The sequence below is a fragment of the Homo sapiens genome, chromosome 10, assembly GCF_000001405.40.
Source record: "Homo sapiens chromosome 10, GRCh38.p14 Primary Assembly".
NCBI classification, from domain to species: domain Eukaryota; kingdom Metazoa; phylum Chordata; class Mammalia; order Primates; family Hominidae; genus Homo; species Homo sapiens.
In genome coordinates this window covers 80,455,363-80,482,664 of record NC_000010.11, presented here as the reverse complement: position 1 = coordinate 80,482,664, position 27,302 = coordinate 80,455,363, and the positions used below count along the sequence as shown (strand labels likewise).

Below are 27,302 nucleotides of genomic sequence, written 5' to 3'. Positions count from 1 at the left end.
AGTAAGAAATACATTTAACAAAAGTCAATCCAGTGCACACGCACACTCACATGCACAACTAAAATGAGTTTTGTGGAGGCCGGGCACAGTGGTTCATGCCTATAATCACAGCACTCTGGGAGGCTGAGGCAGGTGGATCACTTGAGGTCAGGAGTTTGAGACCAGCCTGGTCAACATGGCGAAACCCCGTCTCTACTAAAAATACAAAAAATTAGCCAGGCGTGGTGGCGGGCGCCTGTAATCCCAGCTACTCGGGAGGTTGAGGCAGGAGAATTGCTTGAACCTGGGAAGCAGAGGTTGCAGTGAGCTGAGATTGCGCCAGTGCACTCCAGCCTGAGCCACAGAGCGAGACTCCATCTCAAAAAAATAAAAATCAGTTTTGTGAAATATGTCCCCTTATCACATGCCGTGCATTGTAGATTTGCTTTTTTCTATTCATTTTTCAAAATCATAACTGCACATAATCTAAGAATCAACTACTGTAAAAACCATGTTGAGAAAACAGCAGATCCCAGCCCTTAAGTCAGGTTTTCCCTTTCTAGGTGACACTTCCAACTTCTAGCTGACTCTTGATGTTTACACCCAAATATCTCTTAGAACTGTCTGCATGTAGGCTGAGCGCAGTGGCTCACGCCTGTAATCCCAGCACTTTGCAAGGCCGAGGTGGGAGGATCACGAGGTCAGGAGATCGAGACCATCCTGGCTAACATGGTAAAACCCCATCTCTACTAAAAATACAAACAATTAGCCGGGCATGGTGGCAGGTGCCTGTAGTCCCAGCTACTCGGGAGGCTGAGGCAGGAGAATGGCATGAACCCAGGAGGCAGAGCTTGCAGTGAGCGACAGAGCGAGACTCAGTCTCAAAAAAAAAATTAGCCAGGCGCAGTGGCCCATGCCTGTAATCCCAGTTAATTGGGAGGCAGAGGCAGGAGAATCGCTTGAACCCAGGAGGCGGAGGTTACGGTGAGCCGAGATCGCGCCATTTTGTATTACAATTCCCCAGCTTTTCAGTTTTACGCATTATGCATCTGCTTTCTACCTTGGAAGAGGAGGACTTAACCCTTTACTCCCCATAAATCCCTCTCCCTGCAAGCCACCCCTCATGCTTGTCCTTTCCAATCTCTCCACTAATTAAACTGCAGTGCTGGCTGGAGTAATTTTCATAGTTGACCTTATTATGACCATGTGAGCTATCAGAGTGAGCAACATAACACATGATTTCATTTCTTTTCCCGTACAACTTCTTGTTTTGTTTGCTTAATTTTCTATGAATTTATCAATATTTAACCGAAAATTTGATGTCAGTTGTCTAAATCTACCCTGAGTTTTTTCACATCTGATGTTTTATTTCTATTTCTTCTTCAAAAAGAAATCCTCCTGGGGCCTTCGGAGATCCTTCCATCTGGACCAGTGCACAGAATTCCCTTTACATCTTTTGGGATACACCCTAAAGAAGATCCAGTCTTTGTTCACCTTCACGAGTTTCTTCAATGTGAAAGGCAAGTTTTTCACATCCAGTATGTCTGAAACATTTTTTTTCTACCTTCACTCTTTTTTTTTGAAACAGAGTCTCACTCCTTCACCCTGGCTGGAGAGCCCTGGCGCAACCTCAGCTCACTGCAAACTCTGCCTTCCGGGTTCCAGAGATTCTCCTGCCTCAGCCTCTGGAGTAGCTAGGATACAGGCATGCACCACCACGCCCAGCTAATTTTTATATTCTTTTATTTTATTATTATTATACTTTAAGTTTTAGGGTACATGTGCACAATGTGCAGGTTAGTTACGTATGTATACATGTGCCATGCTGGTGTGCTGCACCCATTAACTCGTCATTTAGCATTAGGTGTATCTCCTAAAGTTATCCCTCCCTCCTCCCCCCACCGCACAACAGTCCCCAGAGTGTGACGTTCCCCTTCCTGTGTCCATGTGTTCTCCTTGTTCAAATCCCACCTATGAGTGAGAATATACGGTGTTTGGTTTTTTGTTCTTGCGACAGTTTACTGAGAATGATGATTTCCAATTTCATCCATGTCCCTACAAAGGACATGAACTCATCATTTTTTATGGCTGCATAGTATTCCATGGTGTATATGTGCCACATTTTCTTAATCCAGTCTATCACTGTTGGACATTTGGGTTGGTTCCGAGTCTTTGCTATTGTGAATAGTGCCGTAATAAACATACGTGTGCATGTGTCTTTATAGCAGCATGATTTATAGACCTTTGGGTATATACCCAGTAATGGGATGGCTGAGTCAAATGGTATTTCTAGTTCTAGATCTCTGAGGAATCGCCACACTGACTGGGATGCCCTCTCTCACCACTCCTGTTCAACATAGTGTTGGAAGTTCTGGCCAGGGCAATTAGGCAGGAGAAGGAAATAAAGGGTATTCAATTAGGAAAAGAGGAAGTCAAATTGTCCCTGTTTGCAGATGACATGATTGTATATCTAGAAAACCCCATTGTCTCAGCCCAAAAGCTCCTTAAGCTGATAAGCAACTTCAGCAAAGTCTCAGGATACAAAATCAATGTACAAAAATCACAAGCATTCTTAGACGCCAATAACAGACAAACAGAGAGCCAAATCATGAGTGAACTCCCATTCACAATTGCTTCAAAGAGAAGAAAATACCTAGGAATCCAACTTACAAGGGATGTGAAGGACCTCTTCAAGGAGAACTACAAACCACTGCTCAATGAAATAAAAGAGGATACAAACAAATGGAAGAACATTCCATGCTCATGGGTAGGAAGAATCAATATCATGAAAATGGCCATACTGCCCAAGGTAATTTATAGATTCAATGCCATCCCCATCAAGCTACCAATGACTTTCTTCACAGAATTGGAAAAAACCACTTTAAAGTCCATATGGAACCAAAAAAGAGCCCGCATCGCCAAGTCAATCCTAAGCCAAAAGAACAAAGCTGGAGGCATCACGCTACCTGACTTCAAACTATACTACAAGGCTACAGTAACCAAAACAGCATGGTACTGGCACCAAAACAGAGATATAGACCAATGGAACAGAACAGAGGCCTCAGAAATAACGCCACATATCTACAACTATCTGATCTTTGACAAACCTGAGAAAAACAAGCAATGGGGAAAGGATTCCCTATTTAATAAATGGTGCTGGGAAAACTGGCTAGCCATATGTAGAAAGCTGAAACTGGATCCCTTCCTTGCACTTTATACAAAAATTAGTTCAAGATGGGTTAAAGACTTAAACGTTAGACCTAAAACCATAAAAACCCTAGAAGAAAACCTAGGCATTACCATTCAGGACATAGGCATGGGCAAGGACTTCATGTCTAAAACACCAAAAGCAATGGCAACAAAAGCCAAAATTGACAAATGGGATCTAATTAAACTAAAGAGCTTCTGCACAGCAAAAGAAACTACCATCAGAGTGAACAGGCAACCTACAAAATGGGAGAAAATTTTCGCAACCTACTCATCTGACAAAGGGCTAATATCCAGAATCTGCAATGAACTCAAACAAATTTACAAGAAAAAAACAAACAACCCCATCAAAAAGTGGGCCAAGGACATGAACAGACACTTCTCAAAAGAAGACATTTATGTAGCCAAAAAACACATGGAAAAATGCTCACCATCACTGGCCATCAGAGAAATGCAAATCAAAACCACAATGAGATACCATCTCACACCAGTTAGAATGGCAATCATTAAAAAGTCAGGAAACAACAGGTGCTGGAGAGGATGTGGAGAAATAGGAACACTTTTACACTGTTGGTGGGACTGTAAACTAGTTCAACCATTGTGGAATTTTTATATTCTTAATGGAGACAGGGTTTTGCCATGTTGGCCAGGCTGGTCTCGACCTCCTGGTCTCAAGTGATCCGCCTGCCTCGGCCTCCCAAAGTGCTGGGATTACAGGATACCTTCACTCTTGAATGAGTTTGGCTGTGTGCAGAGTTCTAAGCTGGGGATCCATTTCATTGAGCATGATGAAGGCATCACTCCCCCACCTCCTATATTCAGATGTATTGAGAAGCCCGAAACCACTCAGATTTCTGATCTCTGTATTTGACCTGTTTCTTTCTCTGTGTAACTTGTAGCATCATCCCCTTCTTCCAAGCATATTGACATCTGAGGGTACTAGTCTGGGTCTGCCTTCAACTACTTGGCTCAATATTCCACAGGCCCCTCCATAGAGAAGCTAATAACCTATTTCAGGCAATATTTTCCTCAATGATTTTGACACTTGCCTTCTTCTCTGTTTTCCCTTTCGGTTAGCTCCTATCAATTGATGTGGGAAGCCTGGCTGATGCTTTAATTTTCTTACCTTTTCTGCCTTATTTATTATTCATCTCCTCATCTGTTTGCTCTATTTTCTGAAAGACTCCCTGAACTTTATTTTCTAATACTACTACTGATATCTTTGCTCTGCTCTTATTTTTGAAAAATTTTCTGATAACTTTGTTTTCTAACTGTTCCTTTTTATTGTATCCTGTTCTTATTTCATGGATACAAGAATTTTTTTCAAAATGTTCTTTTCTCTAAATAGACTTCCTTTCAAATTGCTTTTTTTCATTTGTTTTGCTTTCCTTCATATTAGGCACTTTCTTTAGCCATCTAGTAATCCCTGGCAGTCCGCATGACTAAGAGTGAATGACTCAGGAACCAGCTGGAAGCTCTGAGTCCTTGGGCGGCTAAGTTTCTGTCTAGGATGATCTGGTTGGGCCATTTGCTGGGAAATCCCTGTTGTCAGCATCATTTGTATTTTTTTCCCATCTTAGGCTGGTTAGACTCCACAGTGAGGCCCCTTTTCATCTATAAGGGCCTGGCTGTCAATGTTCTAGAAGCTAAAAGGGGTTAGAAGACTAGAGAATGGAGGTGGTCTCTATATTAACTCCCAAGAATACCTGGAGGCTCCTGGGCCCTTGGTTTTTCCTTCTGCAGAAATGTGCAACATGCAGCTAAAGTCGGAGGCCATCACCCAGCATCACGGTGGAAGGAAAGGAAGGGATGGAAGGATGTAACTGCATTAGCTGCTTTCAAACTATTCTTGTACTCAGCAACCTCTGATGCCCACGTTCCCCTCCCCCCACAAAAAAATCTCATGCCATCCACTCCTACATTTTAAATTGAATCATTCATGTACTCTTTGCTTGCAAAATTTTTCTTGCTGTTGTTTTCTTTCTCATTCTCCCTGTCCTCATGCATTGATTTCTTTTTTACAACTCCCTTTATCTTATGTGGGGGTTTAGGAGAAAGCAAAATTACATGTGTCTACTCAAACCACTATTTTTTACCCAGAAGACCTCTAGGAACATTTCAAAGTATTTTTAATTGCCACCTTTTTATTTAGCAAAGTGAAAAAATCAGGAAGTATAGTCCATTATTACATAAAAGAAAGGGCAAAAGTGACTTGGCACATGTAATTAAGGTTACTAATCAACTGATCTTAACATAGGGGGATCATCTGAGCTATCCAATGTAATTACATGAGCCCTTAAAAGCAGAGCTTCCTCCCAGTTGAGGGCAGAAGAGGAAGGCAGAGAAGCAGCAGCAGGATTTGATGCACTGTTGCTGGATCTGAGTACAGGGGCCACATGCGAGGACCAGTGAGGGACTCTAAGGGCTAAGAGTAGCCCTGGCTGACAGTAAGCAAGGACTCAGTTCTACATGTAGCAAGAAACTGCACTCTGCTGAAAACCTGAATGAGCCTAGAAGTGGATTCTTCCCAGAGCCTCCAGAGAGAAGCACAGCCCTGCCAACAATTTGATTTGGGCTTTGTGAGACCCTAAGGAGGGAATAAGTTGAGCTATGCTGGGCCTGGACCTCTGACCTACAGAAATTGTGAGATTTAATACAGTCAGCCTTCTGCAACCACAGTTCTGTATCCATGGATTCAGCCAACTGGGAATGAAAAATATTTGAAAAATATAAAAAAAAACAAAACAAAACAAAAAATGATACAAGTAAAAAATACAGTAAAACTCCTGTAATCCCAGCACTTTGGGAGGCCGAGGCGGGCAGATCACGAGGTCAGGATATCGAGACCATCTTGGCTAACATGGTAAAACCCCATCTCTACTAAAAATACAAAAAATTAGCCGGGTGTGGTAGCGGGTGCCTGTATTCCCAGCTACTCGGGAGGCTGAGACAGGAGAATGGCGTGAACCCGGGAGGCGGAGCTTGCAGTGAGCAGAGATCTCGCCACTGCATTCCAGCCTGGGTGACAGAGCAAGACTCCGTCTCAAAAAAAAAAAAAAAAAAAAAAAACAGTAAAACAACTATTTTCACAGCATTTACTTTTGTTTTTGAGACAGGGTCTTGCTCTGTCGCCTAGGCTCAAGTGCAATGGCGCAAACTGGGCTCACTGCAGCCTTGACCTCCCAGGCTCAAGCAATCCTGCCTCAGCCTCTCAAGTAGCTGGGACTACAGGAGTGTGTTACCAAGCCCAACTGATTTTTAAATTTTTTTTAAGAGACAGGGTCTCACTATGTTGCCCAGGCTGGACTCGAACTCCTGGGCTCAAGCAATTCGCCTGCCTCAGCCTCCCAACATGCTTGTATTATAAGCGTGAGCCCCCGCACCCAGCCAGCCTTTACATTGTATTAGATATTTTTATGTAATCTGGAGATGGTTCAAAGTTTAGGGAAAAATGTGTGAAGGTTATATGCAAATACTACACCATTTTATATTAGGGACTTGAGCATCTATGGATTTTGGCATAATGGAGGGGGTATGTCCTGGAACCAAACCCCCTTGGACAGTGGAGGGATGACTGTATAAAAAGGATGGGGAGGCCGGGCACCACGGCTCATGCCTGTAATCCCAGCACTCTGGGAGGCCGAGGCAGGTGGATCACAAAGTCAGGAGTCCAAGACTGGCCTGGCCAAGATGGTGAAACCCTGCCTCTACTAAAAATACAAAAATTAGCTGGGTGTGGTGGCAGGCGCCTATAATCCTAGCTACTTGGGAGGCTGAGGCAGAGAACTGCTTGAACCCAGGAGGCGGAAGTTGCAGTGAGCCAAGATCGCGCCACTGCACTCCAGCCTGGGCAACAGAGCGAGACTCTGTCTCAACAACAAAAAAAAGGATGGGGAAAGGGGGCAGAAAAAGAACATCAACTCAGAACAGAGTGGACCTTTAACTTAAAACTTTTTTTCTCTTTTTAGAGACAGGATCTTAAACTCCCAGCTTCACATGGTCCTCCTACCTCAGCCTCCCAAGTAGCTGGGACCACAGGTGTGTACCACCACACGAAGTTAATTTTTTAATTTTTTGTAGAAATAGGGTTTCACTATGTTGCCCAGGCTAATCTCAAACCCCTGGCTCAAGAGATCCTCCCTCTGCAGTCTCCCAAAGTGCTGGGATTATAGGCATAAGCCATCATGCTCAGCCCAAAACTTTTAGATTTACAGAAAAGCTCATTATCTGTCCTATTGCCAGATTAGCTCTATCAAACATCACTGCAACACTGACACTCCCTTAAGAACCAGCTGTTTGTGAGCCTTGGATCCAGATTAAACTCCAGCCAGTGCTTGGCAGCCCCACACCCAAAGAAGTCAGGCCCTTGGCTCCTCCCACAGGGACCTTCAGAGGGGGAGGATGGCCGCCTGCACCCCTCCAACTGGGTGTCCTCTACCTCCAGTTCTTTAGCATCCCCCGATTCTGCCTGGCCCTGTTTGGACGATGCCCATTTCAGGAGCTTGCTGGAAATGTGGAATCTCAATTCCCTTCAATCTGCATTTCACTAAGATCCTGAATAAGATGAAAATTTGGGAAGCTCTGAGACAAGAGTCTCATTTTTTATATACTAATAAGGGGTCATGAGGGAGGAAGAGGGGAGAGAAAACCCAAGGGAAGGAAGCCGGATGACATGACAGTGGAGAAAAGTGAACTGAGATTTGGGAAGGCCAGGCTCAAACCATGTGGCCTGACCCTGCACAAAGGCACTGCGAGCTCCCCAGGCTTCCTGAGAGTGATGTCCCTGGAGTGTTTGCCCCTCCTATGGGATAATCACATGCCTCACAACCCTCCAACACTACTCTGCTGATGGTTCCAGAGATTTGCATCTTTCCACACAAGCACCAGGCACAAATACCAGACAAAGCATGGACCAAGGGGCCCCACCCAGAATCCCTCAGCCTTCACCCACCCAGACACTCAGGAGCTTTCCTAAACTCCTCACGCTCCAATACCTCCCCTCCCCTCACTCCCCTCCCCTCCCGTCCTGAGGGCACAGGTCAGTTCCTCATGACCTCTCAGGGAAGGTCTGAAGGTCTCTTACCTGGCTCTCTACCTTCAACCCCACCCCTCCTCTGGCCCCTCTTTTTCCTAAGGACCCAAGTGACAATGACAACACCCACCACCCATATCCTGAGCTACATACACCCCATGCCCCCAAATTATCCTTACTATCTCTCCTTCCCTCTCATTCTCCGAAGCCAATCCTTCAACACCACCTGGCCTTTGAGGCTCCCAGAACTGGCCTCTGACCTGATCACAGGCCCATCCCAAGGAAGGGCAGCCACATCCCCCAAGGAAGGCGGAGTTTCTGCTGCACCTCTAGTAGCACCTGGGGCCTAGACATTCCTACCATCTGAGAAGGGGGTCTCTAGAGCCCACTAGGTGCTGAGGAACATTCACAGGCCAAAGGAACAGGCAGGCCCAGGGAGAGAAGCCTAGGAGGGGGCAGGCGAATATGAAAGGGAATGGGCCCCAGTAGGAGAGAGAATCACTAAGGCAGGCCAGGGCAGGCTGCTCAGCTGCCCACAGCAATCTCACCCTCTGAGGATGGAAGGAGGGGCTCGGCTCTCTCTGACTCACCCCTTAGAGCCAGAACTGTCCATGCACATCCCTGACCCATTCCCTCATTAACCCAAACGCCAAATCCAGGGGCCACCAGAAACACTGCAAAATCAGACACCGTGGCATGTGAACCTGTGGTTTCCAACAAAAAAGAAAAAAAAAAACTTTAATTTAAAAAAAAAAAAAAAACCCATCATGGTGGCAGCAACCGCTCACTGGAGTGAAGAAGTTTGACTCTTTACTGTGGGAAGTCACTACACAGCTGCACAACGTCAGGGGGGCTGGATCCCCTCCTTTATCACAGGGTGACAAACACTGCCCTGGCACAGTGTGGGGAAGGTGGGCCCCCAGCTTCCAAGGCCATCAAGCCCCTGACCGCCAGCCCTGGATGGCCTCCACATGCAGGTGCAGGAGAGGCTGGGCCCCAGCTCTGAGCTCCACCAGGCTCTCCAAAGGGTCTGAGGGTCTCAGTGCCTGGCATCCTGTAAAAACCCTGATCTTAGTGACTGAAACACTGTGAATTTCCACCACCAAAAACTCACAACCCAAAACCTGCCAAGTTTCAGGACACCGAGGGGCCTCCTCATTAACCTGGTGAGAGGAGGCCTCTGTCTACCTCAGTGCTGTCATCAGGAAAGCAGCAGAGTGGGTGGATTTGAGTCAGGGGAGTCCTCAGTGGGAGAAGCACTGGGCCTGGAATGGAGGTCACCTAGTCCAGTGACTTCCAAGCTTACTATTTTTATTATTTTTTAAGCTACAGGAGGCTTTGTTCAAAGAAACTCTGACCCAGAAACCCAACATGGAAGCAGGCAGAGCAGGACACTTTTATCTTCAGGTGGCTGGGGGAAAGGAAGGCTTCACAAGGTGCACACTAAAAACCATGGGCCTACTGTGACTGACGCCATGCTCCACAGGACAGCAGAACGGCTCAGGAGCTGCCTCCAGAATCATATGGCAACTAGTTCAACAGAACTGTGATAGACTTGGAAATGCATGTTTTGAAGAGCTGTCATTCACAGCAGCTTGAAAAAGCCCCCACTGGCCAAATCTGGAACAATCTGAGCGGCAAAATAAACAATAATAACAACGGATTTTAACTCATTGAATAAAATAAGAATTCATGAGCCCATTCTAATACACACACAGAGATAAATAAACAGGAAAGAAGGAAAAGTTATGTGTAGCACAATGATACATAGCTACAGCAGTTCTGTATAGTTAAATGATAAATGTAGAAGGAATTATGGAATTAAATCATCGCATTCAACACCCATGACAGAAACAACCGACTGTGCCAAGAATCTGCAATGGGTCCTAAAACCAGTCATGAGTTTGATGTGAAATAGCATACTGTATTTGCATAATCTCAAAGTATCTCCCCACAGGACACTTACAAAGAACAAAATAGTAACTTAGAGGGGAGAAACCCAGCAGACATCACCATAAGCAAGCGATCATTGTCAATATCACCGGTAATGACTCAGACCCACATCATGTGCCTCCCAAGGGGATGCACCTAGAACTCACCATTTCCGCAGTATTCCTTACAAAACTGCAAAACTTGCAGCTAACCATGAGGAAACAACAAACAAACTTAAATTAAGGGAGATACTACAAAATAACTGGCTTCAAGTAACTGAAACATAGAGTTTGTGGTCCTTCTTGGAGGAACAAAAAAAAAGCAAACAAAACATTCAGGCCTTGGGCCCCATTGGAGATTTTCACTTTTACGTTTTTGAGACAGGGCCTCACTCTGTGACCCAGGCTGGAGTGCAGTGGCACCGTCACAGCTCACTGCAGCCTTGACCTCCTGGGCTCAAGTGATCCTCCTACCTCAGTGCACACCTGCAGTCCCAGCTACATAGGGAGATGGGGTCTCCCTATGTTGCCCAGGCTGGTCTCAAACTCCTGCTTAAGCCATCCTACTGCCTCGGGCTCCCAAAGTGCTAGGATCACAGGCATGAGCCACCACGCCCAGCACCCATGAGAGATTTTCAGAATGATTCATCAGGCAGCTCATTCAACTGCACCAGCAGCCTCAGGGCAACACCTGCCCACCTAGGTGAGGCAGGGCCTGGTCACCCACACCTGCCACTCACCCCACACCTGCTACCCACCCCACCCCCACTTCTCAAATGGCTAGGCAAAAGGAGGCCTGGCACCTTGACTTCCAAGTTGATGTCCCAACCTACTTCCCTCTGCCATTGAAGGTGAAGCTGCCCACTCAAGGGAGGATGCTAGGCCAAAGCAGGCATAGTGCACGTGTCCTATACCCATACCCTGATCATCATGACAGGCCTGTTTCTGAAAATCTAAGTCTACATGAAATGTCTATACACAGAATCCTTTTATATGCCCCTGGTAAGAGCACATCAGAGCCTCTTCCTCAGCTAGTTGCAAACAAACGTGGAGAGTCTGGGCCCAGTCTACACTAGTATTCCCAATGTGAACAAGAACCCAGGGAGTCCAAGGTGCTGTGCCTCCAGACCTCAGGAGGACTGGGCTGGGCCCTGTGGCCTCCCTAGATCAGCAAGGTTGAAGCAAACCACCCAGCAATCCATCAGTGCACAGGCTCGCCTGCCAAGCCCATGGGGTGAAAAGACTTTTGCTGTGGGAGACAAACACCTAAAGACTTGTTTCTACATGTTCAGGGCACTGCTGCATGTAAGACACCGAGAATGAGGCCGTGGAGACAAACACCAACTCAGAGTGGGACCTGTGCCTGACTCAGGGAACTCAGAACATGACTCCCTTCACTAAGTGCAGTCAAGTAGGTGCTGGAGGGCAGAGAGAAGGAGGTGGTGGTGGTGGCAAGCTGGTCAGGAAATGCTCCCTAAAGCAGCTAGTTTAAATTTGTACTAGATGAGGGCAGCACATCTAGAAGCTCCCCAGTTTGGGATCGAGAGCTGTGCCTAAAGATAGGGAGGGACACACTGCAACCCGACCTGGCAGCAGGCAACTGTTTCACCCCGAGACTGACCCTCCAATGAAGATTATTAACAGAGCCTTCAGTGCATCCCCAGCTCCAGGCTGGGCCCTGCAGATGATACCAAGACAAAACCAGCATGGTCATCCTTGCAGGGCTGACACCATTGGGGTGGGAGCCACTCCTGAACACCATAGATGTTCCAAGTGATGAGTGGCCCATTCTTGGGGAGAAACAAACTTTGCTCCAATAACTGGGTCTTTAAAAGCTGGCTGTTACAGGAGCTGCTCCAGTAGGCTGCAGGGATTTGACCTACATGCCTAATGTAGATTTGAAGTGTTCTCTTTGTACAGGTCACAAAGAAACTACATAAGAGAGTTTAGAATTATATTTACTCCTCATTCTCTATGTTTCCACGCCTGAAAGGCATAAAGATTATGGCTGTAAGATGCTTAAAAATCTTTTTATACAAAATTGCACAGTCAGCTAGAATATACTGTCAGTCTTCCATATATCCACAGGTTCCACATCCTCAGATTCAAGCAACCAGGATCAAAAGTATTCAGGAAAGGCTGGGCGCAGCGGTTCACACCTGTAATCCCAACACTTTGGGAGGCAGGTGGATCACCTGAGGTCAGAAGTTCAAGACCAGCCTGACCAATATGGTGAAACCCAGTCTCTAACAAAAATAGAAAAATTAGCAGGCCTGGTGGCGCACACCTGTAGTCTCAGCTACTCAGGAGGCTGAGACAGGAGAATTGCTTGAATCTGGGAGGCGGAGATTTCAGTGAGCTGAGAACGCACCATTGCTCTCCAGCCTGGGCAACAGAGCAAGACTCTGTCTCAAAAAGAAAAAAAAATTACAAATGCTTTAAATTATATAATACTTACATAGCATTTACATTGTATTAGTTATTATAAGTAATCTAGAGATGATTTAAAGTATATGGGAGGAAGTACATAGGTTATATGCAAACACTACTAAGTGCTGGGGCTAAAACCAATCTCCCTTGGAGACAGGACACCAAGGGACAACTGTACTGTGTTTTAAGACAAAAAAAACCCACCTCAAAGGACGGCAATCTGGAAAACTTCTGAGTCTAGGGTGGGACACTTTCCAGCCCACCCCAGGGCCTGGCTCCCCCAGCCTGGGGGAAAAAGATTTACAGAGCTAAAACAAAACAAACAAAAATCCTTTCCAAAGAAGCCATGAAAAGTGAAGCCCAGTGGGGAAAAATAAAACTAAGTGTGTCCTTGTGAATGTCAAAAGAGAGGAGGAAGAGGCGGCAGAATTTTTTAAACTGCAAATCAATGGTGAGAAACTGCTGGAAAAGGCTGAGAGGAAATCAAGAGTCAGGAGAAAGCAGATCATCCCCTAAAACAGAGCCAGAAATGCAGGGGAGCCCTTGGGTAGCTGAGCAGGAGAGTCAGGGTCTCATTCCCAGGGAAGCAAGCTCTTCCCCACAAAGCCCCAACCTTCGCCAGAATGCAGGGGATGTGCAGGCGTAAAGTGAAATCAGGAGAGCACCTCAAACTGTTTTCTGCTGCAAAACTACTACAAAATACAAATTTACAGTCCCTCTTCTGGACTATTTATTTATCTTCAACATACACCAAAACATCTTTATAGAAAATGCTTTGTGTTTCTTCCAAAAGCAAACAATATTTACAACCTGATTCTGAACCTGTTCTCCAGCTGGAACAGGGCAGGGCAAGTGGCACCAGATGGCCAGGGAGGCTTAGGGCTGCCCTTTCACCCAGGAGGGCTCCAGTTACCCCCCCATCCCTACCCCCACCCCCATGCCCCAAAGATAACCTCACCAGCAGGGCTCTGGGCTAAGGGGGCTTTCTCGAACTAGCTCCATTTCCAAGACATCCCCGGCACCGAGGAATAACTGCTGTGCACTGCACACCCAGAGGGGAAGGACTGAGAGCTGGGGCTGCCAAACCTGTTTAAAGTCGACAACTTTAAACAGGAAAGCAAGTGGGTAAAGACTGCAAAACCATGAAACAGGCTAACAAAGCGAAGGGGCAAGCATGACAGTGTGGCTGGCTGAGGCTGTGCTTCTCAAACATGAAAGTGCATTCAGGCCGGGCATGGTGGCTTGGGCCTGTAATCCCAGCACTTTGGCAGATCGCTTGAACCCAGGAGATAAAGGGTGTAGTGAGCCTTAATTGTACCACTGAGCGCACAGTCAGACCCTATCTCACAAAAAAAAAAAAAAAAAAATTTAAAAAAGCATTCAAATCACTTGGGTTACCTTGTTAACAATGCAAACTCTGATTCAGCTGATCTGGATGGAGACCCCTCAAGATTCTACAGCGCAGCAAGCTCCCAGGTGATGCTCATGCTGCCCATCAGCAGGTCTGTGGATGGCACTTTGAATAGTAAGGATGTAACGCTGACACACAGAAGGAAAACAACCATTAAAGCAAGTCATGGGAAGAAAGCCACCCATCTTTATTGTTCCTGATTTACAAGGATGCAATCAGCTTCCCTGGAGGAATGCTTTAATTTTGGGATTTGTTTGGGATTTTGTTGCATCCCAATGGATCCTCACAGATTATTTTTATTCCCATTTCTCAGCTGTAAAAGCTACTCTAACCAAATGATAGAGACCTGCCTCTTCCAAGACCACCGCCCTCCTGTGTTCGTGCCGGCAGAAACACAGCCTAGAGCAGTGACACAGGCTGGCCCCGAAGACAATGGGAGGAAGTCAGACGGGCAACAGGCACAGGGGGGCCTGGTAGGCAGTGCTGGTTTGGGTGGGCGGGCCCAGAGGATGGAGGCTGGGCCAGGAAAGGCACATAAAGGGCAGAAACCCAGCCTGAAAGGTCACCAGGAAAAGAACATTTTGTCTCCTAGAACCTGTTGACAAAATAGAGGCAAAATTTAAACACAGTCTCCACCCCCAAAGAAGAGGAATGGGGATATTGTTTTCATTTTTACTTTTAACAAGTTTGTTTTTACATTTAAGAGCTTGGCCTCACTTTGGCAAGAGGTAAAATTAAAAGCTTTACTTCCCTCTCCCTGGATTCCACTTCACAACAGAGGGGCTACACTAATAAACAAAAGTAATGTGCCATTTCCAAGAAAAGCCAAGGCGAGGTCCAAGGTAAGACTACTCATCAGTGAACTCCAGGGGCCACACTCAGCGCCTGAACACTGGGAGTGTGTGTTTGGGCTCAGGGTGGCTCGGTTTCCACTTGAAAACTACAGGCATCTTTTGAGGTGATCATCACCACCCCTCAAGAACCTGAGGAAGAAATGCCCAGGAAAAGAGGGGCTCTTTGTTAATTCCATCTGATGACATTTTCTTCCAAAGGATCCTGAGTTGGCAAGAGAGATTCCAGGTAGTGGAGTTAGATTAATAGAACCATTTTGGAGTTAGATTAATAGAACTCCAAGGGTTACAGCTAAAATGTTCCCAAAGTTCCTCTGAGCAACACTTCCATTTTCTAGTAAGAATCTACACCCCAGGAAGTGACCCACCAAGGTCACCCAGTAAGCCCGAATTCAAATCCCAGCCTCTACATCCATTGTGTTTTTCCCAGAAAGAATACTGAGCTGCCTCGATGGTGACTTTCCCAGTCTTGTTTGGGTCCAACAACCTGTAAACTAAAAATAAAATTCTAAGCCCCATAACCAACTAAACAGACCCTCTTGGCCACGAGGACCCCAGAGAAACCTGAAAAACAGCTCTTGGCCACAACAAGGAGGAGGTTGGAAAGGCCTCATTACATACCTCCTCCCTTTTGGGATTTAGACACAAAAACTGACCATCATTAATATTAAAATAGAGATTATAAGACTAAGAAACAAGACTCTTTGTGACAATAAGATACCGAAATATAAAGAGGACTGAAGGCCATGCCAGACAAGGGTTAAGTCACTCACCCCACAGCTCTAACCCAGTGTATTGGTTAACGGACTTCCTTATCTTACCAGTCCTTTCTGCTGACTCTAAATTTTTGGACAAAGCTTTACTCCTTTAACGAATTACAAATTAAAGAATCTCCGAACCCACCTATGACCTGTAAGCCCGTTTCATGATATCCCACCCTTCTGGGCTTAAACAATGCATATCTTCCATGTACTGACTTATGCCTTTGCCTGTAACTTTTGCCTCCTTAAAATGTATAAAACAAAACCGTAATCCAACGGCCTCAAGCACCCTTTCCCCACACCTCTTGAGACCGTGCTTTTCCCAGGACGCAGACACTCACTGGATTGGAATAAACCTCTTTAAAATATTTTAGAGACTTTGGTTTTTCTGTTAACATACCCCACCCCCCACCAAAGTGGGGGTGTTTCAATGCCTTTCACGATGAGCACCAGCTCTTTTTACTTTGAGTCTTGTAGGTGCTACAACATTTGTTAAAATGAGGGCTGGGTGCTGTGGCTCACACCTGTAATCCTAGCACTTTGGGAGTCCGAGGCAGACGGACAGCTTGAACCCAGAAGATGAGTTCGAGACCAGCCAAGGCAACATTGCAAGAGTTCGTCTCTATGAAAAATTTTTAAAAATTAGTCGCGCATGGTGATGCGTGCCTGTGGTTTCAGCTACTGGGAAAGCTGAGGCAGGAGGATCACTTGAGCCTGGGAGGTGGGGGCTACACTAAACCATATTCATGCCACTACACTCCAGCCTGGGCAACAGAGCAAGATTCCATGTCAAAAAATAAAATAAAATGAGGACACTCCAAGGTGCAACCCTATCTGGGGCTGAGGCTTGCTTCTTGATTTGTAAGACTTGGCTGATAAGAGAATCAAATAAGACAGCCAGGATGGGTTTTGAAAGGGTAAGCTATAATGCTAAACACATGAAAACTAGTGGGAGTTATGAGTTCTATACAAAACAACTCTATTTCAAAGGCAGGTGCCTTACAGATTCTGTCTGTGGTTTAGAAAGGAGACAGTATGGGTTGGGGCGGGCACACCTCAGATAGAGAAGTCAGACAGCGGGTGAGAGTGGCCTTCACCCCGCCTGCAACCCCACACATAGCTGAAATTGTACCCCAAAAGAGAATGCTCATTTTGCCCACCAAAAAGTGGTGGGGGAGAGAAGGGAGAGATTCAGATGTGAAGAAGCAGGGTACAGTTCCCCTCAGTTAGAGAAAGGTCCTCACAACCATAAGGACCAAAATAAAAAATATTCTTAACCAATCCTGCCTCTGTTTTCAACAAAGACCAGGAGATTAAGAACGAGCATCCTTTGTGCCTGAGAGTGGCTTTTTCTGCCAAAGACCCGGAGGCTAACTCTCTCTCTCTTTAGTGTGCACCTCAGTGGCCCAAAACAGGTGAGACCTCTCTCTGTTCCCACTGTAGGTGTCACTATCTTTCTGATCCAGTAAGAGGGGATACTCTGTGCTTCTCTCAGCATGGCTGGGAGATAGGGGTACAGCCAGAGGAATTAGGGGTGCAGCCAGGGGGCTGCCATGCCTTTGGCTCAGTGGGCAGATTCATGTCACAAGGGTTTCCACCCCACCAGCGCTGTGTGCTGGCTGCCTGCTGCCCACTGCCAGCCTGAGATTCAAGAGCCCGGAGATGGCAGAACAAAGGAAAATGGCTGTGGCTCCTGCAGCGGGGGTGGCTGCAGGCTGAGCTGCCAGCACACAGGCTTTTCAGCAGCTGAGTGCTCGCGTGAGGAACGGGAGCACTGGGCTGAGCACTGAGGCACAAAGCAAGTGGGGGGCCTGGGAGACTAATAGCAACCCAGGCACGTGCCTGGCCCCCACCCAAGGGCACAGCTGGGCCGGGAAGACTCGGCAGAACTCACTCCCCAAAGCAGTGGGCAGGTGGCCGACAAGCCTGGCACCGGCCACTCCTGCTCCTTGCCCAGCTGCTCAGAACTCTTACCCAGAGGTGTTCCAGGCAAGCACAGGGACTTGAGAAGGGCGAAGGGGGATCTTGACAGAGGCAGAAACTAGAATCTGAGAACACATGATGGGCCTTGGAGTGGCTCAAGGCTGTCTGCAAATGGACCTCTATTAAGCATAAAGGGCTCCTGCTACCAGCAACAATAGTTGCACTGACCACTCCCTCTCCCACTCTCCTCCTTCTCTAGTTCCCTCCCACCCTTCCCCCAAAAAAATCTACAATGGGAAGCAGCAGGAAACCAGGGCAGAGCCCCTGAATAGCTCCACTGTGAGGCCCCAGGTCCCGCCTCCTCAGCTCCACAGGTCAGCCCTCACTGCCACCAGGCCACAATAGAAACCTCTGTGCTACCAAGGACCCAGGCCCAGACAATGAGCTGCACATGGGAAGCTCTGGCCTTCTCACGGGGACTGCATGTAACCGCAATGGTGAGAAGTTCTCTGAGTAGAAGGGTGGGAGAGCCATGGCAGGGACACAAGCCTCAAACCCACCAGGTCAGGGTCTATTTAGGAGGTCTATCTGCCAGCCAGCCCTAAAGTCTCCCTGCTTCCCACCCTGCCCTGGCATGGGGCAGTGAAAGCCACACAGGGAAACAACCAGAGAGCTCCCAACACAGAGTGGGCACCTCCAACATGCTCTCACGACTGTCCCTCCTTCCCCACCCATCCCAGGAAGAACCGTACCCCATTTCTGTTCTGAAAGGAAGCTCCCGCTCAAAACACAAAACCCATCTATTATTTTCACCAGGTGCCTTTTACACAGGCTTTTAAAATCACAGGGTGGCAACCAGGCCCAAGGCGGCCTGAACAGGGAGGTGTGCAGAGCAGCGAAAGGCCAAGGGAGGCCAGAGAAGGAGGCCGATCCTCACACCAACCCCTGACACTGCGGGAAAATCTGCTCCTCTAAAAGCTGACGCCAGCTCCAGCTTGCTGCAACCAACGCTCCCCCTTCACACCCCACATAGGTCCTGCAAAGTCGTGAGGTTGCTGGAACCCACTATGAGAAGCCTGCTCCCCGCCTCCCTACACCCCAACTCGCTCTGGCTGACTCCTCACACTTTTAGGGGCACAGGCTGCATGAGCCAGAGGGCCAGCCAAGGGCTGTAAATATGGAGGTCACGGAGACAGGCTGGCCTGAACTGAACCAAAGATGGACTTGGGTGGGAACCAACACGCTGGCACCTCTCATGCCTTCCCAGTAGTTTCTCCAGCTCTTGTCTCTGTAGAAGGCCAAGATCCCTCCAAAAGAAAACTTTGTAAACTTTCATTCCCCCTTTCGGAATCAAAGCCGCATGTTTCTTTTCCTTTTACACACCTAATGCAGTAACTCCACATCTAGTCATTTCCACTACAGACCTGCAGCATGCATAAGACACTCCTGCAGCTTAGCCTATAGAAACAAAACACTGAAAGCAACCTCAAAATCCATCAATAGAGAGCTGGTAAAGTGAGTCATCATTCACTGTGCAGCAGAATCATGCACTGCTGTTAAAAAGAATGGACTAAACTATGTGTGCTAAAATGGAACAATCCTGGGATAAATTCTCAGAGTAAAAATCAGGAAGTGCAAAACAGCATAATTAGTATACCACTGGGGTAATAAACAAGAGAGGAATACAGTCATGCTTGACTAGGCACTGAACATCTGGTGACAGCGGCCTCAGGGGAGCAGAACTGAAGGGGTCAGGGATAGAAATAGGAGTTTTCACCGTGTATCTTTGTTATGTGTTTTTCATCATGTATACATTTTTGTAAATAAAAATGTTAAACCTAAATTAATATTTAAAATGCCTAAAGTTTGTGGCTGGACACACAATTTTACCCGTAGCTGTCTGCAGGCAGCTTCTGGTGTTTCCCTAGAACAAGGCAGAGTAATGGGGAGGGGAAACGAAACAAGGGGAAGGAGGGGGTCAGGCAGTGGCAGCCTCAGGGATACAGACTCACCAACTCACAGGGCTCCCTGCTTTCGACTCCACCCCAAGTCCTGAAATAGAAAGTTTTCCTAAGAAGAGCAAGAACAGATTCTGACAAAGGCACAAAAGAAACCAGACCATCTGCTGCCAAGCCCACTTCATGATAAATCTGTAAGACCCTAAGATTCAGGCAATGTAGGCGATGCAGGAGACGGGACTGAAACCCAGGCATCCCGGGCATCCACAGGGACCCTTCTCTGAGCCCTCCCCACTCAGTCATCAGTGGAGCTCGAGGTCCTAGTGCTATGAACACATCCCAGTTTCAGCAACTAAAGAAAGCTATTTCAACAGATTTCTAGGCCTGGCCCAATTCCAAGGACAGGCTAAAAACAGTTTCTCCAAAATCCCAGCTCAAAACCCCATTCCCTAACCACTAAACTCCATGTACCTTCCAGGAAATGGAAGCTGCAAAATGGAGCTGTGAGATGCACTTGTAGATTTATTCCTCACTAAAGAGATACATATATGTTGTTTAAAAGCTTCCTTTAACTGACGTGTCAATAAATACTCTGCACTCAGAAGCACTGATATACTTCCTCCAAGTGATTTTTCCCCCTAAGGAACAATACAAAAACCATTCCAGCCTTTCCTGCTGCTGAGGGGAATGACACAATGACCATTAGAACCAGGACTGGCCAGACCATTTGAGTGAGAGATGTGTATGGCAGGGAGTGCTGCATAAACAGAACTCTATCTATGTAGAATAACTCCTCCACCCCACCCCACCCCATCCCATCCCATCCCACCCCATTCCTACGCCCTAGGCCACCAGGGCGGACAGAAATAAACACCTCCTAATGACCTCAAGCTCAAAGACCGCCCAGACCACAGGGAAAGAAGGCCAGAGAGGGGGAATGGGTATATTTGGTTCCCCTTACAGAATAAGATGCTTTCTGAAGACTGCTAAATATGTTCAATAAGTAGCCCCTGAATTAAGAAGCACAAATCAAGTGCCCAGGAGTTTGACACCAGCCTAGGCAACATAGCAAGATCCAATCTCTACAAAAAATTCTTTAAATTAGCTGGGTGTGGTGCTGCATGCCTGTGGTCCCTGCTACTCAGGAGGCTGAGGCGGGAGGATCACTTGAGCCAGGAAGGTGGAGGCCTCAGTGAGCTGTGATAGGGCCACTGCACTCCAGCCTGGGCAACAGAGTGAGACCCTGTCTGAAGGAAAAAAAAAAAAGGCACAAATGAGATCTCACAACAGTGAGAACCATACTGGCACCTGAAGCCCTCGTATCTCTTTCTGCTCCTCTCGGTGGCTCAGTGCAAGCCCTCAGCAGGTCTTGCCTGTAATCCCACAATCCTCTGTGAAACCAAGACCAGCCCCTCTCCAACCGTCTTTCTGCAGGAGTGAGCAGAGCCCAACCCAGGCACTAATCTTCAACACACCAAATCCTGGCACCTGCCTTTGCCACCTCATCAGTCATGCCATGGAGGGGAGCGTCAGGGCTACCCTACACCAGAGGAGCCCTCAACTAAACCTGCCCGCCCCACCCCATCCTGGGCACATGCCACTTGTTCCTCTTTGCTCACACACTTAGCACCCCAGAGCCCTTGGGAATGAATCCCCCACCACTACCACCAACTCTGATTTTGGCATGCCCCCCTCAAAAACCTATCCACGTTTATACCATCACTTGTATTTCACAAGAAGCTACTAGAGTTACAAAACACAATGACTGTGGTAGGCAGGATGGCTGCAGAGAGCAGGGTTCTGGCACCACCACTGTTCCACTGCAAGGGTGGAAGCTGGCTACAGAGCCTTTAGGAAGGAGGGAAGGCCCCATCCACAGCCGACAGGTTTTCCTTACAACAGCAAGGGCCTGGTTCCTGAAAAGCTGACTGTTGAGACAAGATCAGCCTCAAGAAAAGGAGGCAGGCCAAACAGGGTCACCTGTGCAGGGTAGGCTGGAGGGAGCCGGCCCTCAAGAGAGGCAGAGTCTGATCAAGTAGACAGGAGGGCCAGAGAGAAAAGGAGGAGCCTCACTCATGGAGGAGGAACAAGGTAGGCTGGAGGCAGGGACTTGTAGGCCTCAGACAGAAGGAAGCTGGTGAAGCTCCCATAGGCAAAATGCCCAGGAGCTCCGGCTAGAAGGCAGCAGGAGTGTGCAGTCCAGGCAAGAGGAAGAGATCCCCCACAGCACCTCCCTCTGCCCAGCTCAGACAAATGGGACAGTCAATCCCCAGGCTGATGGAGGCGGGAGCGAGAACCACAAAGTTGTCAGACTGGTTTGCCCAGGACAGGGAGAGCAGGGAACACAAATTGCAGCAGGAGCTCAGCTTCAGGGGGCAGAAAAAAGCAGCAAAATTGGTGGGCTGTAGGGAAACAAGGACCCAGGTCCATGCGATTTCCTGGGTGCAGAGGGGAAATCCAGCAGGCCAAGAGCAAGGGAGCCAAGGGACAAGGGGCCAGCAGATGCTGAAAAGGACCAAGGTTTCTGGAAAAAAAGAGAGTGACACTTACAAGAAGGGACACCTACAAGGAGAGAAACCTGTCCCCTACTCTTACACTGGCCCAAGCTCAGGACCACTCACACCTGTCTCCTGAGGGACAGGCCAGTGCAAGAAGAATGGACAGGACACTGCCAACCACGGGATACTGACAGAGATTCTGTCCCTCACCAAACTTTATTCCTCTGAGCCCTCTACTCATCTGGTCCTGACCTAGGGTTCCTAACTCCATTCTCTCTAAGAGCCTAGTTTTAGCAAAACTCCTGTTAACCAGAATCCCCCAACCTCAATATCTAATCACCCTGGATATCTGAACGTATTTCTCATCCTGTACTATCTCCCAGGTAAAACCTGATCACCCTGGCCTGCCTGCAGCAAGAATTCAGTTAGCTAAGTTTAGTAAAAATTTCCCTACCCTCTTAGAAATTTTCAGGAGCCCCCACACTCCGCTCCTTGGCTATAAGTTCCCACTTTTCTTTGTTGTATTTGGAGTTGGCCCACTCTCTCCCCTCTACTGCAAAATCCATTGCGATAATTCCTACATCTATCGTAATAGTCCTGATACAGTCTACCTTACCAGTTTAACAAGTGTCAGAATTAAGTTTTTCTTTCACCAGCTCCCTAAGTCTTCCTGGACCCACTGCTCCCACCCCTCACTCAGGGTGTGTAAATTACTTGGTCTGGGGCTGTGGCTGACCTCCCCTAACAAGCCCCAGAAAAAGACCCTGTCTGCCTGGCCCAGGGACACAGGAGAGGACCCTCAGCACAGCTGGTGGGCACCCAGACTGGGGACAGACACACTCCTACTGCTGAGAGTCCCATAGCATCCCCAGGATCACCACTCAGACCTCGGGGTACAAACAAGAGATTCGGGAGAGGCCCATTTCCTTCCACTGCTGTGGGGCCTCTCTCCTGGATGTTAGGGCTCCGAACTCCTCTCAAGGCCGTGCAGTGTACAGGAGCACAGGCCCAACAGCTGGGACTGTCAACGCATAGTCAGGCAGGAAAAACCCAGAGAAGGTTCACTAGCCCCTTGTTCCAGTCCCTCCCCAAACCTTACCCATGCAGGACAGCCCAACTCCAGCTCTCCCAAATGCCAGGAAACACAAAGACTCTGAGGCAGCACCAGGAGCTCACCTCTTACCAGAATCCCAGAAGCCACTTTAGAGACAACTGCCCCAGCTCTCAGGCTCCCAGCTCAGGCCAGCACAGCCTAAGGAGGGAGGAGCCAGTTCCTCCAGCTATCTAGCTGAAAGGCACAGGCTCTAGGCCTTCTCCCTGGCTGCTCAGTTGGGAGGCAGTACAGACCGCAAGGGGTGAAGAGTTTCAACCCCAGCCTGCCCAGGCCCACTTAAGCTCTGGTCTCCAGGCCTGGCCTGCTGCCTCCTAAAAGAAAACCACAGCCCCACCCAACCCTACCCAACCCCACCAAGCCCAAGGGCGGAGGAAGTGAGGTTCCCAGAATCAGCTGCTGGTGAACACTTGCTGAGTGCCGCCAGAGATGGCAGCTGTCTCACACCAGTGTCAGGCCTAACTCAGGGGCTTTGGATCTTGCTTCTCAGGGTACTAATGCTTCACTGCAACCCCGTGAGACAGAAAAGGCAGACTTGATTCTTCTCACTTTACAGATGAGAAAAGTAGACAACTTTTTTTTTCCAGGAAGAAAAAAAAAAAAAATCAAAGACTTGTGTAGGTCACTCAACTAGAAAGTAGGTGCAACTTGAAAGCTTGCCTCACCACCGTCCACTCTGCAAGCTGGACAGTGTTATTCATCTTCACATCTTCACGTTTAATTGAGAGCGGCACTGGACACTGCCCCCCTGCCAGGGCCTGCGCTCCACCAAAATGGCTACTTGCCCTGTCTAAATCAAAAGCATACGCAATTAAGGGAGAAAATGGATGTGGAGATATTATGAATAACCTCCCTGATTCACAGTTACAGAGGACACTACTATAATGGAAGATAAGCAAACTGAAACGCTGGCATTCACCTAGACCAAAGACTCTCAAAACTTCATTCTACGCAGCTCCCTGGGTACTCTGATAGCCTGCCAAGAGTGAGACCACTGCTGGAGACCACCACCACCTCTCAATCCACTGGCAGAAAAACGGAGGCCCTGGAAAAGGTGGAAATATGCCTAAGCAGAGTGAGTTAACCATGAAGCAGAAGAACCTGAGGCCTCACCACCTCCAACAGTGTCTGCTGGCCCCGAGGGAAATCACCAGAGACCAAGCAGGTGACCAGGCACAAAATCAAGAGCCACAGTGTGGCTGACTCTTCAAAATCCTACTAACGTGGCCTGAGGGGGAAAATTTAACTAACAGGGTTCCTACTCCCTTCTACAGACCAGGGATCTAGCCCCACACTCAATCCCATCCCCAGTGGGAGTCCACCTTCAGTCACCTCGCTACCACTGCTTTCTACACCCCTATGCCTGCAAGCTCAATCCCCGAGTCCCACAAAAGTGGGGAGGACCAGGCCTGCCTGGGTATCGCTACCTGCTCCTGCTTCTAGGAAAGGTGGCTGCCCCTACAGGCCACATCCAGGTAGCGGATGGAACATGCAAGATATCCAAGGACTGACACGGCAGGGCAGAGACAGGCAGCAGGAACCTAATCCCCTTCCCATAGGCATCTTAAAGGCCACCAGGACTCAGTGGCAGGACACAGGGATCATCATGTTCTCTGTCCCTCTGTCCAAGCCACCAGGGGTGTTCCCACTAATCACTATGGGTCCCCCCAGTGAGGACAACATAAAGCAGATAAGTGATGAACATGCAGTGTGAACAAGAAATAAACCTCTGTTGCTTTAAGCCTCTGAGACCTGGGGATTGCTGTTACCACAGCAAACCGTGATCTGTCCAGACAGACACAAGCAGTGACTCCCCAATCTTCTGCATGTGGTAGTGCTGGTCTTCCCATTCCCTGGCCTTAGGGAGACAGAAGCTCCATCACCAATCAGCGGGGGTTCCGGGGTACCTGCTATGTGCCCAGGCTGTGCTGGACAGATGAGATGTGTTCAGAGGCAGGGATACAAGGGCACCTTCACTGAAAACATTCATTAGTTCCACTGTGGGCCAGGCTTGTTTGGTATATGAATCCATTTTAATCACCTCTGAGAGGAACATATTGTCTAAATTAGAAATGAGAAAACCTGGTCCGGCACAGTGGCTCACGCCTGTAATCCCAGCACTTTGGGAGGCCGAGGCGGGCGGATCACTTGAGGTCAGGAGTTCAAGACCAGCCTGGCCAACATGGTGAAACCCCATCTCTACTAAAAATACAAAAATTAGCTGGGTGTGGTGGTGCACACCTGTAGTCCAAGCTACTTGGGAGGCTGAGGCAGGAGAAGAATCACTTGAACCCAGGAGGCGGAGGTTGCAGTGAGCCGAGATCACGCCACTGCACTCCAGCCTGGGCAATAGAGTGAGACTCAGTATCAAAAAAAAAGAAATGAGAAAACCCAGCTCATATTGAGACTTCAAGCAAGTTACTCTGTGACCTCTCGGGACCACAGTTTCCTCATCTGTAAAATGGAGCTGTTGACATCACGGTTGTTTTGCTTTTTGTTTTTTGTTTTTTGAGATGGAGTTTCATTCTTGTTGCCCAGGCTGGAGTGCAACGGCGCGATCTCAGCTCACTGCAACCTCCACCTCCCAGATTGAAGCAATTCTCCTGCCTCAGCCTCCCAAGTAGCTGGGATTATAGGCATGTGCCACCACGCCCAGCTAATTTTGTATTTTTCGTAGAGACAGGGTTTCACCGTGTTGGTCAGGCTGGTCTTGAACTCCTGACCTCAGGTGATCCACCCACCTCGGCCTCCCAAAGTGCTGGGATTACAGGCATGAGCCATCACGCCCAGCCATCACAGCTGTTTTCAAGGATTAAATGAGTTATTACAAGTCAAACTTCTAGGGTGTAAGTCTCAATAAACTCACATTAGTATCACTATGAAATAATCTTGTCCTTCACTAAATTTTAAGCCAGCAAAGGTTTCCCAGGCCTGGCACAATGCCACTTTGCAGGCACTGCTAAAAGGAATTCTACCTCAGTTGAAGTTAAATGGGTCAAATTCCTGAGCACATGGTGGCATAGAGTGAGGCCTCAGGAAATAGTTCCAGAACCCAGGGCTTTCCTGCTCCCCGGCCTCCATGGGAACTTCACTTCACTGCCGCCACAACCTTCAGGGCAGAGCCATCTCCTCTCCCACTTCATACTGCCACTTCCTACATGAGAAGGACCTTCACCAGTCCTCAGAGACTAGCACAGCTGCCCAGCTGGTGAAGGGGACAATTCCCTGGGCAGCCAACCATTCTGCAGCTCCATGCCCTTTCTTCCTGGGGCAGCCACAAACCTTCAGAAGCACCCATGGGCTCAGACCCCCCCCACAACCCCGTCTCCCTAAATGATCCTGCTACGCTGAGATCAAGCTCAGATCAATAAACACTACTGAGCACCTATGCCATGTCCAGCCTGGGTTCTAAGACCACACCAAGTTCATAGCTGGTGAGGGACTTTCCAGACTTGGAATAGTGCCTGCAACAATGCCTCGCACCCCACAGAAATCTCAACCATGCTTTGTTAACTAAACTGAGGATGACATTAGGTGGCCCAAGCAGTGGAGTTCAGAGATGTGGGGATGGATATATCCAGAGTCTCCAACTGAAGTTGGGGTGCAACACAATGAGAAGGAAAGGGAAAATACATCTGGTGGCCCTGGGTTTCCAGGGCCTGTCACTATAACGTTAGGGATCGGAGTGGGATCAGACTGCGCGTGGTGGCTCACACCTGTAATCCCTGTGCTTTGGGAGGCTGAGGTGGGAGGATCACTTGAGCCCAGCAATTTGAGGCTATGATCACACCAGCAGCTAAGGGGATAGAAGGGCATACAGGGCCATTATGGTGGAGTCTGGGCTTCATTCTGGGGGTGCCAGGGCCCAGGAAGATCCCTGGAAAGACGGCCGCCCCCACCAACCACTCGGCTAGCTGAAATGTGGCAAGGACATAGGGGTGCTCCGATGGCCTGTCCCCAGGTTTCCCTTCACAAATAGAGAAGGGTGGCCGGAGCACTCAGCAGGCACTAACTGCTTCTGGACTTCAAGGTCAAGGGGCAAGGGGAAGGCTACTTTTGAGGATTTGGCAGGCCACTCTCTCACTAGCCCAAGAGCAACTCCCTCTCGGAAGGGAGGAAGATCCCCTGGAGAGCAGACCACTGCCAAGAGCACACCTGCAGAGGCTCCAATACAATGCTCTGCACAGCCGCCCAGCACCGCCTGACCTCC

The 27,302-nt window shown here is 48.3% G+C and overlaps 1 protein-coding gene across 9 annotated transcripts in view, besides 11 other annotated features; it reads right to left on the bottom strand.

The window, feature by feature from the left end:
- The window catches only part of TSPAN14 (tetraspanin 14), a 68,322-nt gene that overhangs the window by 39,967 nt on the left and 1,053 nt on the right, over positions 1-27,302 (bottom strand). The window contains exons 2-3 of one of the 9 annotated variants that reach the window (NM_001351267.4): positions 19,538-19,577; positions 13,978-14,118 (exon numbers count right to left, since the gene is read on the bottom strand). The exons of 2 other annotated variants lie outside the window; for them this stretch is intronic. The gene's annotated coding sequence lies outside the window, so the exon portion shown is untranslated. Of the gene's footprint in view, positions 1-13,977; positions 14,119-14,336; positions 14,425-19,537; positions 19,578-23,080; positions 23,381-27,302 lie in introns of those variants that run through there. 6 more of the 9 variants (NM_001351270.2, NM_001351272.2, NM_001351271.2 and 3 more) reach the window with 6 other exon arrangements.
- Positions 9,491-9,540: an enhancer, noted in NCBI's record as "active region_3663". NCBI's record gives its function as "activates an Ori minimal core promoter by ATAC-STARR-seq in GM12878 lymphoblastoid cells {active_cell/tissue: GM12878}" and the evidence as "EXISTENCE:reporter gene assay evidence [ECO:0000049][PMID:35858748]".
- Positions 10,173-10,402: an enhancer, noted in NCBI's record as "active region_3662". NCBI's record gives its function as "activates an Ori minimal core promoter by ATAC-STARR-seq in GM12878 lymphoblastoid cells {active_cell/tissue: GM12878}" and the evidence as "EXISTENCE:reporter gene assay evidence [ECO:0000049][PMID:35858748]".
- Positions 11,103-11,172: an enhancer, noted in NCBI's record as "active region_3661". NCBI's record gives its function as "activates an Ori minimal core promoter by ATAC-STARR-seq in GM12878 lymphoblastoid cells {active_cell/tissue: GM12878}" and the evidence as "EXISTENCE:reporter gene assay evidence [ECO:0000049][PMID:35858748]".
- Positions 11,183-11,422: an enhancer, noted in NCBI's record as "active region_3660". NCBI's record gives its function as "activates an Ori minimal core promoter by ATAC-STARR-seq in GM12878 lymphoblastoid cells {active_cell/tissue: GM12878}" and the evidence as "EXISTENCE:reporter gene assay evidence [ECO:0000049][PMID:35858748]".
- Positions 15,498-15,792: a silencer, noted in NCBI's record as "tiled region #4556; HepG2 Repressive non-DNase unmatched - State 6:EnhF". NCBI's record gives its function as "represses a minimal TATA promoter and a strong SV40 promoter by Sharpr-MPRA in HepG2 cells {active_cell/tissue: HepG2}" and the evidence as "EXISTENCE:reporter gene assay evidence [ECO:0000049][PMID:27701403]".
- Positions 16,751-17,322: an enhancer, noted in NCBI's record as "NANOG-H3K27ac-H3K4me1 hESC enhancer chr10:82225099-82225670 (GRCh37/hg19 assembly coordinates)". NCBI's record gives its function as "activates a minimal SCP1, AML or CMV promoter by ChIP-STARR-seq in primed H9 embryonic stem cells {active_cell/tissue: H9 hESC(primed)}" and the evidence as "EXISTENCE:reporter gene assay evidence [ECO:0000049][PMID:30033119]".
- Positions 17,323-17,894: an enhancer, noted in NCBI's record as "NANOG-H3K27ac-H3K4me1 hESC enhancer chr10:82224527-82225098 (GRCh37/hg19 assembly coordinates)". NCBI's record gives its function as "activates a minimal SCP1, AML or CMV promoter by ChIP-STARR-seq in primed H9 embryonic stem cells {active_cell/tissue: H9 hESC(primed)}" and the evidence as "EXISTENCE:reporter gene assay evidence [ECO:0000049][PMID:30033119]".
- Positions 19,618-19,912: a silencer, noted in NCBI's record as "tiled region #907; K562 Repressive non-DNase unmatched - State 14:Gen5'". NCBI's record gives its function as "represses a minimal TATA promoter and a strong SV40 promoter by Sharpr-MPRA in K562 cells {active_cell/tissue: K562}" and the evidence as "EXISTENCE:reporter gene assay evidence [ECO:0000049][PMID:27701403]".
- Positions 21,480-21,559: an enhancer, noted in NCBI's record as "active region_3659". NCBI's record gives its function as "activates an Ori minimal core promoter by ATAC-STARR-seq in GM12878 lymphoblastoid cells {active_cell/tissue: GM12878}" and the evidence as "EXISTENCE:reporter gene assay evidence [ECO:0000049][PMID:35858748]".
- Positions 24,443-24,522: an enhancer, noted in NCBI's record as "active region_3658". NCBI's record gives its function as "activates an Ori minimal core promoter by ATAC-STARR-seq in GM12878 lymphoblastoid cells {active_cell/tissue: GM12878}" and the evidence as "EXISTENCE:reporter gene assay evidence [ECO:0000049][PMID:35858748]".
- Positions 27,240-27,289: an enhancer, noted in NCBI's record as "active region_3657". NCBI's record gives its function as "activates an Ori minimal core promoter by ATAC-STARR-seq in GM12878 lymphoblastoid cells {active_cell/tissue: GM12878}" and the evidence as "EXISTENCE:reporter gene assay evidence [ECO:0000049][PMID:35858748]".